At 40.0% G+C, this 17,432-nt stretch overlaps 1 protein-coding gene across 52 annotated transcripts in view; it reads left to right on the forward strand.

Annotated features, from left to right (window-relative positions):
* NRXN3 (neurexin 3) overlaps nt 1-17,432 on the forward strand; it is a 1,697,919-nt gene that overhangs the window by 624,820 nt on the left and 1,055,667 nt on the right. For 41 of the 52 annotated variants that reach the window (NR_158973.1, NR_158975.1, NR_158974.1 and 38 more), the window contains 2 exons: nt 8,428-8,631; nt 15,126-15,152. Coding sequence is in view for 46 of the 52 variants with exons in the window: in XM_011537363.2 (XP_011535665.1) it covers nt 8,428-8,631; nt 15,126-15,152 (231 nt within the window). In the remaining 6 variants the exon portion in view is untranslated. The remainder of the gene's footprint in view (nt 1-8,427; nt 8,632-15,125; nt 15,153-17,432) is intronic. The other 11 variants (NR_073547.2, XM_017021798.2, XM_047431948.1 and 8 more) reach the window with 1 other exon arrangement.

Here is a 17,432-nt window from a genome sequence, read left to right on the forward strand (position 1 = left end):
TAACACAGACTGGGAAGGGTGGCTTTTATTTTTAAGGGAATTTAAGCATCGTACAGATAAAAGAAACATACATAAAAAAGTAAATACTATGATTTTCTTTCTCCCTGGATTGCTCCTTTAACACAATAATTTTACAGAAACCTTTTTCCATTGTAAGTATTATTATATTGCTCAATTTTCCAGTGCCAATCCCTTCCTTTATTTGGAGGAGCCTCTGAATGCCAGTGGGGAGATAGTTTTCCTCTTACTGGTCAGAGGATGGAAATTTAGAGAGAAGTCATTGATTATTGAGATTGAAAAGCAATCAGACAATAAGTAAACAATCAGACAGTAAAAGCAAAAATTGGTACTAAAATGTGTTTTAAAATGACACAATGATTAAATAAAATTAATTATATCCTCTAGAAATAGAAATGGGCTTACTATGACAAATACAGATATATACCATTTGGGACTAAGAAAAATTTTATGAAGAAAGGTATGTGAAATATTTTTAATAGCCAAAAATAGAGGAACTCTGGAATGGGTGGGAAAGGAGTGAGCTTAGCAGACCTTCTCTGTGAAACAATCGTTTAGCTGGTGAAAATTATTAAAACATACACACACAAAAGAAGCTAAGACACACACATTTAAAAAATTGTCATAAGGACACACAGCAAATGGAAAAACATTTATTCAAGACATCTATTAAATACCAGTTAGAAAAATGAGAGGTGTGATATTTAAACTGTAACCAGCTGCCATCCGCTAGCTCACCCCTGCTCCTTGTTTTGGAAGCCAAAAGGACAAGAGCTTTCTTACCTGCCAGTTATCAGTCTAGGGCTACAGTTCAACCCCAGAAGAGGCAGGCTACTGGTGCCTCTCATTTTCCCCAGATTCATGTTGCAGAAGCGGTATTATGGGTAGGCATAGCCAAGAACATTGGGCTCACTTCTTTTATCCAGCCCCCGTTTATAGGGTATAAGCTCTATACCAATTGTGGCAGACCAATAATAATGCGTGTCCAATTGTCTCTTCCTCAGCTTGCTTATAAGGCAGAGGTTCCATGCTGGGAAGGGCAAGCTGAAAAGGCCAGAGTCCACCATCTTTCCCAAATTCCCACTTATACAATGGTAGTGTCACTCGGGTGGAAGTGGGCCGCTATTTGTGCAACCAACTGGGCTGTAATGGCACAGAAATTCTGCCCAGGGATAGATGCAGAGTGTCACAATAAGAGTTTCCACTCTGCCTGGAGTCACTGACTATCTGGAACAGAAGTTAGAGAAGTTCATGGCTAAGGGTTTTCTTAAACAATGGAGATCTTGATGGCAAGCAGCTTATAGGGAGCAGGCAGCTCTATGATACCAGCAGCAATGAGCAAACTGGTAAAGCAGCCAGAAGTCGAGTAGAGAGAATCAGGGAATGAGAAAGCCCTGAAGAGCCCTCTGGGGATCACACTTATCCCTGAGGGTATGGAAAGTTGTACATATTTGCAAGGCTACACAACTCAGAGGTAATTAGAGTAAGACACAGGGCAGATTTGAAAGCATTCTCAAGCCATACACAGATGCCTCATCCAGGAGGAAGAGTCTTATTGGTTCAGAAGGCTTAAACGTGATCTCTCAACCAACACTGGCTGAACAATAAGGTACTCTTACTCAGGTGCTATTCCTAGGAAAACAAACTTAAAAACAAAATCGTTCATTCTTGGTGGTCTGGAAGACTGTATTTATTCTGAAGGCTGAAACATCTCAAGGGTGACAGGAGGATAATTTCTAAGCTAACAGTCCTTTGCTGAACATGAGGCAAGATCATAAACTTCCTCAAAGCAGTCTCCAAGTCACACATATACAACAGACAAAGGGCAAAAATCTAACTGACCAAGGGGGCTTAAGTACAGTATTTGATCAATAAGTTACTTATATTGATACACTCACAGGAAGGCAAGCCAAAAGATAAAAACAGGGGAACCTTTCTGAGGGGGGAGACGAGAGCCGTCTGCCGAAAATATACAAGTCTCAGAATTATCTCTATCAAATCACTAAATAAATGAACATATGAACAAACAATTAGAAATAAACCTAGAGGAACAGGGTTAGTGTCCAGACTTGTTACAATGTATTATCTAAAGTCCAGCTTTCAATAAAAAATTAGGAGAATGCAAATAAACAGGAAATGTGACCCATACACAGAAATAAATGCAGGCAATAGAAACTGCCTTTGAGTGGGCTCATATGTTGGACTTAATAGACAAAGAATACAAGTAACTATTATAAATATGTTCAAATAACTAAAGGAAATTATGCTTAAAAATTAAAGGAGAATGAGAACAATGATTCATCAAGTAGATAATAAAATAATGAAATTTTAATACATATTGTATATGTCTATTCATCTATCTTCCAATAGAAATTTTAGAGTTGAAAAGTCCAAAAACCTAAATGAAAAATTCACTAGACGAGCTCAATGGTAGATTAGAGTTGGCAGAAGATAAAATAATTGTATTAGTCTGTTCTCATACTACCGATAAAGGCATACCCGAGACTGGGTGATTGGTATGAAAAAAGAGGTTTAATGGACTCACAATTCCATGTGACTGGGATGCCTCACAATCATATTGGAAGGTAAAAGGCACCTCTTACATGGTGGCAGACAAGAGAGAAAATGAGAGCCAGGCAAAAGGGGTTTCCTCCTATAAAACCATCAGATTTTGTGAGACTTATTCACTATGATGAGTAGAGTATGGGGGAAACTGCCCCCAGGATTCAATTATCTCCCACCAGGTCCCTCCCACAGATGCGGGAATTATGAGAGCTACAACTCAAGATGAGATTTGGGTAGAAACACAGCTAACCCATATCATTCCATCCCTGACCCCTCCCAAATCTTATGTCCTCACATTTCAAAACCAGTCATGCTTTCCCAACAGTCCCCCAAAGTCTTAACTCATTTCAGCATTAACTCAAAAGTCCACAGTCCAAAGTCTCATCTGAGACAAGGCAAGTCTCTTCTGCCTATGAGCCTGTAAAATCAAAAGCAAGTTAGTTACTTCCTAAATATATTCAGGGTACAGGCATTGCATAAATATAGCCATTCCAAAGGGGAGAAATTGGCCAAAACAAAGGGGCTACAGGCTCCATTCAAGTCCCAAATCCAGTAAGTCGGTCATTAAACCTTAAAGTTCCAAAATGATCTCCTTTGACTCCATATCTCACATCTGGGTAATGCTGATGCAAGAGGTGGGTTCCCATGGCTTTGGGCAGCTCCACCCCTGTGGGTTTGCAGAGTACAATTCCTCTCCTGGCAGCTTTCATGGGCTGGTTTTGAGTTTGTATGGCTTTTCTAGGTGCACAGTGCAAGCTGTCAGTGGATTTACCATTCTGGGGTCTGGAGGACAGTGGCCTTCTTCTCACGGCTCCACTAGGCAGTGCCCCAGTGGGGACTCTGTGTGGGGGCTCACACCCCACATTTCCCTTCGGCACTGCCCTAGCAGAGGCTCTCCATGAGGGCTCTGCCCCTGGAGCCCATCTCTGCCTAGACATCCAGGCATTTCCATACATCCTCTGAAATCTAGGTGGAGGCTCCCAAACCTCAGTTCTTGACTTCCGTGTACCCACATGCTCAATATCACATGGAAGCTGCCAAGGCTTGGGGCTTGAACCATCTGAAGCCACGGCCTGAGCTCTACCTTGGCCCCTTTTAGCCATAGCGTGAGTGGTTGGGACACAGGGCACCAAGTCCCTAGGCTGCACACAGCGAGGGGTTTGGGGGTGTGGCTCAGCCACAAACAAAACCATTGTTTCCTCCTAGCTTCTGGGGCACCTGCAGTTGGAGAGGCTGCCATAAAGGTCTCTGACATACCCTGGAAATATTTGCCTCATTGTCTTGGCGATTAACATTTGGCCCCTTATTACTTATGTAAATTTATGCAGCTGGCTTGAATTTCTCCTCAGAAAGTGGGTTTTTCTTTTCTATCACATTGTCAGGCTGCAACTTTTTTGGACCTTTGTGTTCTATTTTCCTTTTAAAACTGAATGCTTTTAATGACACCGAAGTTACCTCTTGAATCCTTTGCTGCTTAGAAATTTCTTCCACCAGTTACCCTAAATCATCTCCCTCAAGTTCAAAGTTCAACAAATCTCTAGGGCATGGAACAAAATGCTGCCAGTCTATTTGCTAAAACATAGCTAGAGTCATCTTTACTCCAGTTCCCAAAAAGTTCTTCATTCCATCTGAGACCATCTCAGCCTGAATTTCATTGTCAGCATTTTGGTGAAAGCCATTCAACAGGTCTCTAGGAAGTTCCAAACTTTCCCATGTTTTTCTGTCTTTTCCTGAGCCCTCCAAACTGTTCCAACTTCTGCCTGTTACCCAGTTCCAAAGTTGCTTCCACATTTTCAGGTATCTTTACAGCAGTGCCTCACTCCCAGTACTAATTTACTGTATTAGTCCATTTTCATGCTGCTGATAAAGATGTACCAGAGACTGGATAATTTATAAAGAAAAATATGTTTCATGGATTCACAGTTCCATGTGGCTGGGGACACCTCACAATCACAATCATGGCGGAAGTCAAAAGGCCTGTCTTATATCATGGTAGACAAGAGAGAAAATGAGAGCTAAGCGAAAGGGGTTTTTCGTTATAAAACCATCAGATCTTATGAGACTTATTCACTACCATGAGAGCAGTATGGGGGAAACTGCCCCCATGATTCAATTATTTCCCACAGGGTCCCTCCCCCAATATGTGGGAATTATTGGAACTACAATTCAAGATGAGGTTGGGGCGGGGACACAGCCAAATCATATCAATAATCAAACTTGAAAATAGAACAATAGAGATTATGCAATCTGAATAGAAGAAATAAAAATTTTGTATATTTATAATATATAACTTTAATGAATGGCGTGTTTGTATATGCGTGCACATACAAACACAAGAACTTCCATCATGAAGCATTATGGATGTGCTTTGGTGCTTGGAAGCATGGGTGTGCTCCAGGCATAGCTCTATGACAATTTGGCAGGACTGTTAAGTATACAGCTGGGAGAATCAGACCGCCTGCATGCAACTCCCAGTTCTGCCATTTATTAGCCATGTTACTTGATATCTAGAAAATGAGATAATAAAGTCTTCATGGTGTTCTTGAAGATTAAATGACTTCTTAATGCATATAAAGTCCTAGAAAGCACCAGGCGAATAGTAAATGCTCAATTTTAGGTATCATTATTGATCTTCTTTAGATTCTGCCCTTCCAGGAGATAAAAGATTTGTTTTGTTTTGCTTCACATCTGGATCATGTGTTAAATTTAGATTGTTTCCAATCTAAGAAGAGATCTTCATAATATGTCTTATTGTAACGGTGTTTGCAACTGTCACACTTTTATCTGTAATCGCTTTATAGTTTGCAAATTGTAATGTGCAGCTGTTAGCATGTCATGAGTTTTACCTGGGAGATGGCTGATTTTCAGGACTATCATAAGTGCATTTATATTACTTTTCATCTTTTGTGTGGTATCTGAACAGAGTAGGGATATGATAACAACACAGACTATTTTGGGACCCTTCAATGTGGTCTGCCTGACTCTTGTTTCTCCCTGTTTCACTTCTTTCTAGATATGAGGGTACGGGTGTTTTTCTCTTTTGTTCACTGTTACGTCTATCACCTAGAATAGTGCCTGGCAATCAGTAAGCACAGAAGAATATATCATGGTATCTCATAATCTAAAACCATTTACTTTCCAGTAGATGCCCAAGTCCTTTGATTTTATTCCGGTCTCAAACTACCTTACATGATAACCATTTTAAAAATTATATGTCTGATGCTGTATTAGCCTGTTTTCACACCGCTCTAAAGAAATACATGAGGCCGGGCGCAGTGGCTCACGCCTGTAATCCCAGCACTTTGGGAGGCCAAGGAGGGCGGATCAAGAGGTCATGAGATTGAGGCCATCCTGGCTAACACGATGAAACCCTATCTCTACTAAAAATACAAAAAATTAGCCGCACATGGTGGCAGGTGCCTGTAGTCCCAGCTACTTGCAAGGCTGAAGCAAGAGAATGGCATGAACCTGGGAGGCGGAGCTTGCAGTGAGCCGAGATCGCGCTACAGCACTCCAGCCTGGATGACAGAGTGAGACTCCGTCTCAAAAAAAAGAAAAGAAATACATGAGACTGGTAATTTATAAAGGAAAGAAGTTTAATTGACTCACAGTTCTGCATGGCTTGGGAGGCCTCAGGAAACTTACAATCTGATGGAAAGGGAAGCTGGCATCTTTTTCACAAGGCGGCAGGAGAGAAAAGAGCATGTGAAGGGAGGAACTGTCAAACACTTACAAAACCATCAGATAGTGTGAGAACTCATGAGAACAGCATGGGGGAAACCACCCCCATGATCCAATTATCTCCCACTAGGCCCCTCCTTCGACACATAGGGATTATGAAAATTACAATTTGAGATGAGATTTGGGTGGGGACACAGAGCCAAACCACATCAGATGTTTCTGTTAAATTGAATAGTTTGTTATAATCTGAGCATCCTCCTTCTTTCTTTCCTTTATGTCTATAGAGATACTACCTGATCTACCTGTTCAATATGATGCCATTGCTTCTTTCATTACAAACCCTACCCATCTACCAAGACCAACACAGACTCTATCCCATCTGCCTTAATTGCCTTCATCCTTCAGCTTCCCTCCTCTGAATGTTACTTGCTTTGTATTTATTTCCTGTGTCATTTAACCACTTGTATGTTCCAGTACAGTTACTTGTGCATTCTGTGTCTCCCTTTAGAACAGGGACCTTGTCTGTTTCACCTTTGTATTCTCCATAGTGCATGTAGGTAGCAAATATTTGACAACAGCCAATATTTAATAAAGACCTACTCAGTGACAGATACTGAACCCAATGACTGGTTTGATTCCTAGGAATGTGAGTGATATTCTCTTCCTGTGTTTTCTAAAATTATTTGCCTAGTGAATATTTAAACAAATTCACATGTTGAACATCATAGTGTTTCAAAACAGCCCCTGGACTTGGTATCAGATATATTGAGTCAAATCCAGAGATGCTGTGTGACTTTGGGATGATAACATACCCCTTTAAGAGTCTTGGTTTTCCCAAACACCACATGTTCTCACTCATAGGTGGGAACTGAACAATGAGAACACATGGACACAGGAAGGGGAACATCACACACTGGGGCCTGTTGTGGGGTGGCGGGAGGTGGGAGGGATAGCATTAGGAGATATACCTAATGTTAAATGACGAGTCAATGGGTGCAGCACACCAACATGGCACATGTATACATATGTAACTAACCTGCACGTTGTGCACATGTACCCTAAAACTTAAAGTATAATAATAATAAAAAAAGTCTTGGTTTTCTTGTCTGCAAGTAGGAATAATAGAATCACACTATAGTGTTAATCGAGGTAACAAATTGTCGGTAACCTCAGACTGAGGAAGGTATCAAATAAAAGTGAGTTTTCAGCCAGGCGCAGTGGGCTCACGTTTGTAATCCCAGCACTTTGGGAGGCCAAGGTGGGTGGATTGTTTGAGGTCAGGAGTTCAAGACCAGCCTGGGCAACATGGCAAAAACCCATCTCTACAAAATATCTAAAAATCAGCTGGGCATGGTGGCATGCGCCTGTAATCCCAGCTGCTCGGTAGGCTGAGGCAGGAGAATTGCTTGAACCAGGGAGGCAGAGGCTGCAGTGAGCGAAGATCACACTGCTGCACTCCAGCCTAGGCAACAGAGTGAGACTGTCTCAAAAAAATAAAAAATAAAAATAAGTCAGTTTTCCTCTTTCCCTATTTGAATAAAAGTAAAATGAGTTTTTCAAGGGTGTCATTAGCTTTATGTTATTGTTCTAACTCTGCCTCTATCAGATATTCTTTGAATGGGCCAAACTCTCACAATGGCTGGACACTGGGGATGTTATGATGCCAGACCATGCTGCTACTTTTTCCTTCCTTTAAAAGCTCTCTGGTAAATATCGATTTGTCTGCTCTGGTGGTTATAAACTGCTGCTCTCCTCCTATTCTTCATGAAATACAGGGATTCTAAGTTTTGTTTTATGTACTTGTGTTTTATCTATCGCATACAGAATTGCAAACAATACTATTTGTGAGGGGCGTTTTGACTTTTTCAAAATATCTTCATATCCATTATTTAATTTGGTACCCTTCACAAGTCTATGAGCCTGGTAGGGCAGGTACCTGTGTCATCATAATCCCCTTACAAATGAGGAAATAGAGCCTCAGAGGTTAAGTGGTCTGCCCAGCGTCACACAGATTAAAAGGTGGTAACAACAAGGGTTCATCAAACACAAGTCACTAGGCTACAAATCTGGCACCCTCTCTACTCGCTTAGCCTGAAAGCAAAGGGGTATTTGGCAACTGTGACATCCGTCATCCTAACGATCTTCTCCATTCTTCTTTGGCAGAGGCATCCATCCTGAGCTATGATGGTAGCATGTACATGAAGATCATCATGCCCATGGTCATGCATACTGAGGCAGAGGATGTGTCCTTCCGCTTCATGTCCCAGCGAGCTTATGGGCTGCTGGTGGCTACGACCTCCAGGGACTCTGCCGACACCCTGCGTCTGGAGCTGGATGGGGGGCGTGTCAAGCTCATGGTTAACTTAGGTATCGTATGAAGTACCCTCTGCCACTTCGTTTGGGCTTGTCTTCCCTTTCTTTTCTGATTTTCATTGGTTTGATTGAATTCTTTGTTTGTTTCTTGAAAGTTAGCTGCTCACCTCTTGTTTAACAGACCCAGGATAAAACCCAACAGCAGCGATCACCTTCTCCTTGTTTCTGCATGAGGTTTTGATGTCAATTTCTGGTTTCTGACAGTGGTGATTTCTTTACTAGATTATTTGTTTTCTAAGTTTCCTTTCTTGGTTTTTTGGAATCGTTTAGCTTTGTGTAAAACACGCTACTTTGGTCCATCTTTTGATCAATCATATTCCCATAAGTCCAACTCCTCAGTCACCACTCAAAACAGTCACAGCTGAGGTCAGGGACAGGGCAGGAAGTGGAGGCAAAATGTTGATGGTGGGGTTGTAGGAAATTAAACTTTGTGGGTAGGGTGAGAAGTACATTGTTTCTAGCTCCACAGCTACTATTCAAATGGAGAATTCTGGTGGCCTTGATGACACTGATATCTCCTTTGACTTTCTCCTAGAGGGAGGACAAGTAGATTGTTGTTCCCTTGGAAAATAATTCCCTAAGTTGAGTCTGTGACACGTGGAAGGAAAATGTGTCTCCTGATACGTATACCCATTTTTCTTCTTGACATTCTTAACCATCACTCAGCATCCCCTTGTGCAAAGATTGTTACCTTGTACTATCACTCACTAATAACTCTCTTCTTCTTATATAATACATATCTATTTTACCTCAGAGTTGAAAAATTATGACTTCAAATTTGTGGCTTTATTGGAATAGGATTTTCTCTTTCATTGTAATTACCTATAACAGAATCTTTAGAAATTTTCCTTTATATGGCCTCATATTCTCTTCTGCTATTGACCTTTACTGAATTCTAATTGATATTCTATAGAGATTGGGATCCTCTTGGTTTTTGGCAAGGAAAAAACAAACAAACACTCCATTTCTGCTGTTTCTAATCAGCAGAAAGTCAATACCCAGCATTGATAAGATTAGTGAGACAGCTGGGTCCAAACTTTCTAAGCTAGTGAATGTATTTGGGTACGTAGAATATGTTTGGATACAGTGATACCTTATAAAGATTTCAGTGAAATGGTTTGTCAGAGCCATGGAGAAAAAATGATGAACAAATGTACCAGATGCAAGATCATATGTAGGCCCACATGTCCTGGTGGGAAGGTGGGGTTTTTGAATCCATACCAATCTTATCTGCTGTCAGGTCAACTGGACACACTTGGAAAATGCCTACATCATAAACCTAAAATCTCTGGGACACAAAGGACTGTTTTGAGCAGTGACTTCTTTAGTTATGTCTTTTTTTTTTCTTCTAGTTTTCAGTGTTTACAGTACCGTGCTCTTTTTCTTGTCCAACTTCATTTGATTTCTGTTGTCAGTGTGTCTCTTGGTTTTTCTTTTGTTTGTGTATTGTGTGTTTGGTCATTTTAGGTTATATTTTTTTCTTTTGCTGGATCTTTTTGTGTGCGTGTGTTCCTGAGTTTCCAATCCTCCCCGCCATCAACCATGGTAAATCAAAAGATGGTATTCAACCCTTCAAAGGCCCAAAGCCTGCGGCCCGCATAGCAAACAGCCTTGAGAACACAGCGTATTGAGCAGCCTACAGAGACTGGCATACCCCTGACCCTACTACCTTCCATCCCTGCACCATCCTACCCACCTTAAATCAATATAAGAGTGTGTTACCTAAAACCAACAGCCAGCAGCTGATTATCTCCTCAGAAAAAAACAACAGAAAAAAAAAAAAAACAGAACCAAATACAACCCCATAACTAGCTCACTGAAAAAGATGATGAAGACAATTTTTATCTCTGGATCTATTTCAAAGTCAGAGAGAGACAAACATATGAGAATGATTCAGCCCCACGCGATCCTGAGGGAGTGTACACAGTGTCATTAAACAGACATTTTTTTCCCCATTAGGTGTTGTTTAGTAAAGATTAGAGTGTCAACTTTGACAGGTCTCACATCTTAGAAGGAAAAACTGGGGTCAGTGGGGGTACAAATAAAAGCGTATAAGAAATAAGGAAATAAGTGTACAGATTCTCATTCTCTCTCTCACACACACACACATACACCTTGAGTTGGTCATACATCCCACATGCATTTCTAGAAGCATTATTTTTGTATTTTAAACTCTAGTCAAAGTCTGAGAGATGTGCTTTTCCAATAGACTTTGCTTTTTTTTTTTTTTTTTCCCCTTTGGCTTCTTTTGTTGCAATTTCAATCTAGCTCCTGCTGCGTTGAACCATCTCAGGCAAAGGAGAGGTAGCCTCTCTGTAGAGAGCACTGTGCTTGTCCAGAAGCCATAGTTAATTTTTTTTACACCAAAGGATAGGTTCATCATAATTACTGGTTTGAATTTATTTAACTTTCTTTCCAACCTGACATGGAAAACTGAACTTAAACTCTCATGCTTGTGTAAATGCAGCTCTTCATATCCACGCCTTGTTTAAAGGTTTTCCTTCCGTTCCCTCCCCAAAATATACCCCTTTGCAAATATTTTCTTTCTCTTTGCCGTGAATTTGTGTTTCATTTTTCTCAATTACAGAAGAAAATGTATCCAAGTAGAATTTGTCTTCACATGCATTCCACCAAAATTAATTTCAAATGATCACTTTGCTCCCTCACTCTATTCAAGTTGTGTCTTTTTTCTAGCCCATGCACTAACAATATTTTAGTTTATTTCAAATTGATCACACATATGCATTCATGATATAAAAGCCTAGTATATATTTCTCTGATGTAACATATCTTCCAAATGTCAAGGAGACTAGGGTTTTCCAATGGCTTTATCTTCTGCAGGCAGCCATATGTGGTGCTAACAGGTATGAGAAATATCCTATAACTCAGCACAACTTTTAAAAAGTTGAGAGGTTGACTATTGATCAACCATATTTTGATTCTTTAGAATTATAAGCTATAACATTTTATTATTACAGCATATTTAAAGATTTAAAAGACCTTATCTTATTTTAATCTCATGATCTCATGGATCTCATGCGATTAATGATAATCTCATGATAATTTTGTGAGATAAATCAAGCAAGTGTTTTTATGCTTACTTTTACAGATGTGTAGCACAGAGAGAAATATATTACTTTTCAAAGCTTACATAAAAAGTTGGAGACAGAGCTGGAACTAGAACCCATGTCTCTAAACTGCTAGATCAGCCTGCGTTATTTGTTTCCTTCACAGATCAGCACTATGGGTCAATGATGTGTTAGTCTTAATGGCTTCCAATTGTTTTTATGATGGTCACCTTTGAAACACACACAGAGAGAATCTCCATTTTCCTCAGTGCCCAGTTTGAATTGAGCTGCACTAGGGAAAAGACAGTTGATATGGACAAAACCTTTAAAAGATCCTTAGCAGAGTGCCAGGAGCCCTTCTTCAATGGCAGACTCTGAGGGAGTGGCATGTAGTTTGGTAAATTGCATTTGAATTCTCCAGATGTTCTCTCTCTGGAAATGTGGACTTGCTATTACTGTTTACCAAACACATTATTGAAGACACACAGCTCTTAGAAACATTTACCTCTTCCATGCTCGACCCAAAGCTCAACAACGAGAAAAACTTTCTTGGCCAGGCACCTTAATCTAATTACAGACACTTAGGCCTGTAATCCCAGCTCTTTGGGAGGCCGAGGCAGCCCATCACGAGGTCAGGAGACCAGCCTGGCCAACATGGTGAAACCTCATCTCTACTAAAATACAAAAATTACCTGGGCTTGGTGGTGCGTGCCTGTGATCCCAGCTACTCGAGAGGCTGAGGCAGGAGAATCGCTTGAACACAGGAGGTGGAGGTTGCAGTGAGCCGAGATCTCACCATTGCACTCAAACCTGGGCAATAAAGTGAGATTCTGTCTCAAAAAAAAAAAAAAAAAAAAAGAAAGAAAAGAAAAAGAAAGAGAAAGAAAGAAAAAAACTTTCTATCATTTACCATAATTTAAAACAAAACAAAATTAAAACAGGCAACACACAGATATGAACACATACACATCAAAAGATATGCCAAGACTTAGGCAGACTTTTTTCAAGCAAAAAGTCTGGCTGCTACCAAACGTAGATTTAAAGGAAATTGCCTTCCCAACTCAGTTCTTTGACTCATATTTTTTATTTAAAAAACCACATATATAAATGTGTATGTGTGCGTGTGTCTATATACACACGCACACACACACATATTTATACATATATACATACACATTCAGTAACAAGAACACCCCCTCAGAGCCTATCAAGAAGGCTCTGGGATAGATTTTCCTTCTCAAACCACTTGTTCTTCAGGTAAAATAACAAAGTAATTCTTCACATATTGAGGTAAAGTAAACAAACTGTCTGCCATCTTGAAAGCGCCAAGCTCTTACATTGGTTTAAAGACCGCATCCACTTTACATGAAATCATTTGAGTGATCCAGAAAGATGAGCCCAAGCCACCACCTCTCACTAGGCCAGCTTCTTGTCTAATAATAAAATCCTCAGCTATGCAGAAGCCGAAGACAAAACCCACTTGTTGTTTGCAGTCCTTGGGTTTGTTGCTTTAGGCTCACTCTTCCTCTCATAAGCGTGCCCATACACCAGTTTCCTCTCTCTCTTTAATATGTCAGGAAGGGACATTTCTCCAGCTTTGGGTGATGGTAGGTGCAGTCAGTAGCTGAAGCCATCACCTCTTCCTCCCTCCCTGCCCTCCCTCCTTCCAGTCCTCACCAGGGGCATGGCCTCCTCTGTCTGGTAATCATACCGGTTGCTCCAGGGCTGTTTGCTCCCACTTTTCTGTTGCGGTTGACGACACATGACAAACCTAACCGCACGAAACCAAACCCAGATTTTTCTCAAGAGATGTTCTTCTCGGGAACAAATAAGCATTCTGCCTCCTTACTCAGAATAACTGGGTGCTATAAATCGCTCCTCTCCAGATTTCACGTAGCTTCATTCTCCCCTTTATTCTTGCTCCTTTAAAATGATTCACTTTGGGGAATTCAAATGGTGGCATCATCCTTGACAAGTCCTCTAAAAACTACTGGGTCAACCTTAAGCAGAAGAAGAGTACTTTGTGACTATATTTTCCCCTCTATCTTTCTTCCTTTAAAAAAAAAATCATTTCGCTTCTACCTTTTAGTATCTAACGGTAAACAAATCCTTATTGGAATTTCCACCATGATAAACCAACCTTAGGCTGAACCGGGCAGCTTGGTAACAACTAACCTGAGACCTTTCTCTGACCTTTTCTGCCCAGTCCCCTACTATGCCCACTGATTCTACTCAAGGACTTCTATGTTGTGTGTCCATGACTCCCAAGCAGAGATTAATACAATGATAGATATGCTGATCTCTGGCACAGAATACCTTGTCTGATTACTAGCTCTGGCCAGTTGGTCACTCTTTTCTTCCCTCCCTTTCCCATTTAAAAAAGTGAAACAAAAACCAAAAAATTTTCTCTCCTCAAGATGTGGAATCACAGAGTGAAAAATACTCAAGATGTCAAAGGTGCCGAGACCTCCTCCACACGTGCCTGGCTTGCCTTCTCCCTGAATGCTGTGGGCACTTGATTCAGTCTGCGTATTCAGGCAGGAAGACAGAGATGGGCTGCGCGAGGGGGTTGATCTGGGAGCCTTTGAATCACTAGCAATCAGAGAACCCAATTCATTGTGATAACATCATACAACTCCTTTGACCCTACACCCGACCCCACCTCTCTAAAATCTGGGATGGGTGTTTGTGCGGTTAGCTGTTTGCAAGTGGCCATTTTATGACAGGAAATGACCAGGTGGTGTTAACCCTTTCCTTACCACTAAGGAAGATGGCAAGTGTGCCTATGCAAATTTCTATAGCATTTGGGGCCCAACCTAAGGAGAGGGTGGAGGGAGTTTGATTTTAGAAAAAGAGAAAGGGTTAAGTACGTCACTGAGCAACTTCATGGGCAGATTTTTTAAATGATACAATCAGTCAGACTGGTGATATGTCTTTGGAATACTAATACAAAAATTGTGTTAATGCTACTTTAAAAACGAATTTTAAGAAAATAAATTATAGAGGAAAATAGAATATAACCTGCATTTGGTGGGGGGAATTATTGCCTATTTTTCCAAGTTTGACAAAATTAATATTTCAAAGTCCAGGTTTGAAATACTTTATATAAAAGAATAGCTTTTTTTGAAAAAAAAAAAATGTTTGGTGTCTACTGTGGATATATATGTATACCAGTATATATCTCTATACATATGTGTATATATATGTGTGTGTGTGTATATATATATGTATCCAACTTTACTAAATAATATACTGTACATATACACCCACCCTTAAACTTGTACATACTTTATATATATAAAATGGCCACATTTCTTACGTGTGTCTGTCCCCGGAAGGGTGGACTGATTGTTTTTGGATGTCTGCAGCTGTTACCTTGAAGGATGCAATTTCATCTTTCATTTATTTTTCCCCATCTAGACTGTATCAGGATAAACTGTAACTCCAGTAAGTTTTCCCTCAAGTTTCATTTTGTTCTTTAAAAAAAAAAAACAAAACTGACTTTATTTTGTTTACTGTTTTATGAGCTGTTTTTTATTTGAATTATTTTTTCTTTTAACAATGGAGTGGGGGGGACCTGGGGCTAAGAAGATGGGGGGCTGGGTGAGGGTGAAGGGCTGAGTGTGGTTTTGGGTGTGGTTTCTGAAGTGAGGGCAGGTCCTCTCTTCTTTCCTTGCATTTGCTCTATATGAAGAAAAGAAGGCAAGGGCACATGAATAATGAAATAATGAAAAATCAAGTTGAAATGATGATTTATTGTTTTTGGGAGGTAACTCTGAGAGTGAACAAAAAGCTTTAGGGCAACCAGCATGCACTTCTCCACTACCAAACAGTTTAGAAAATAAAAGCACTGTTCTTGACCCACAGGTGGCTGCCAACTCTGACATTTCTTTCCCAGTATTTATCTCTGTTGGGAACTTCTAGCAGGTGGGCAGATCACTGCTATTGGTGATAAGGCAACACTTTAACCAAAGACTTGAGACACACTCTGTCTCTGCAAAAGGAAGAACTGCAGTATTATTTTCACCTTATCCCATTCAGATACCCTAGTTCTTGAAGAAGGGTCCTAACAAGGCACAGGATGAAAACTACTCATGTATTTCTTCCTCTTCCTTAGAAGTAAACATTAGCTTGAGTCAACATGTAGAAGGGGAATATGAAGATAAATAGGAAGAATAGGCACAAGAGAAAGAATAGGCCTAGATGATGAAAGGAACAAAGGAAGAAATATGCTTTGAGTACTATAGCATATTATATTAGGCTTATTAATACTAACTACTGTAACAAGCAATCCCAACATTATAATGGCTCAACAAAAGAAGGTTTTATTTCTTGTTCAGTCAAAGTCCAATGCTAATTGGTCAGTTTTCCCAGACAGCTCTCTTCAAAGAGGTAATTCAGGGATCTAGGATCCTTCCATGAGGTGGGTCCACCACCTCGGAGTTCTTTACTTCTGGCTGTATCCGTAGGGAAGAGAGAGAGAGAGAGAGCTTGGGTGGTTGTGCAGTAGGTTTTATTGCCTTGCCTGGAAGTAACAAACATCGCTTCTATCCATATTTGGTTTGCTAGACATGACTCCATCCTACATGCAAAGGAAGCTGGGAAATGTAGTCGGCTAGTGCACCCAGGAGAAGAAAAACTGGATTAGTTGATATCTAGCACATGTAATTCTCCATAGTATCTCATCATCTTTAAAATTCTTTCCTCACTAGGAAAAATCCAACTTTTACATTTGGTTTACTTGTTGATTCCATCCTAGTAAGTCTTTTATAGGTGCTAGTTTAAACTTCTTTCTTGGTAGAAGATATATTATAGGCATGACAAACTAATAAAGCCCAATTCTACTTTTTGGGGGGCAAATGTTCCATCTAAGTTAACACAAAAAGAAGAAATTTAAAATATCGATATAAGCAACTGCTTACTAAATAGAGTGCTTTATCCTTGTCTTGGCATCACTTACAGTTATTTTAAGCAATGGCCTATTTTCTGTGTTTAAATATTTCTAATTAGCCAGAAATTTGTCATGATATTTAGATCATTAAAAGCCTAATTGAAACATCCTTTCTCTCCAAAGCCTGGAGTTTTCTGTTCCTGTTTTTTTGGTTTGTTTGTTTTTTTAAGCAGCTTTATTGAGATACAATTTTCATACCACTACATTTACCCATCATAAACCTACAGTTTAAGGATGATAATTAAACTTATAAAGTTGTCCAAATATCACCACAATCACATTTTAGAACATTTCCATCATCCCCAAGATTTCTTTTCTGGTCATTTGTAGCTAATCCCTGCTCCTACCCATCGTCCTAGGTAACTATTGGTGTGCTTTGTTCCAATAAATATGCCTTTTTTGGACATTTTATGTACATGGAATTAGACAAATTGTTATATAGTCATTGTATCTTGCTTCTTCAAAAAATTTTAATGGCATTTCTATGGAAATATTTTCTCTTTCCTTTTGCATTGGTTTTCAGAAGGAAATAAGGTGGAAACCCAGCATGAAGGTGGAAAGCCTCGTATCCGAAGCTACATCTAGCATCTTCTAGCTTCAGAGACTTATTTGGAGAACAGGGAACTGAGGCAGTTATTTAATCAGGATATCAGAATTTGCTTTTGCTGTTCTATCCACACTTTCTCATGAAGTCAATCCCATATATTCCACATGATCAGCCACGGAAAGTCATCATAAGACAACTCCCAGGATTACCTCTGTTGGGAAGATGGTGA

Source organism: Homo sapiens, chromosome 14, assembly GCF_000001405.40.
Source record: "Homo sapiens chromosome 14, GRCh38.p14 Primary Assembly".
NCBI lineage: Eukaryota > Metazoa > Chordata > Mammalia > Primates > Hominidae > Homo > Homo sapiens.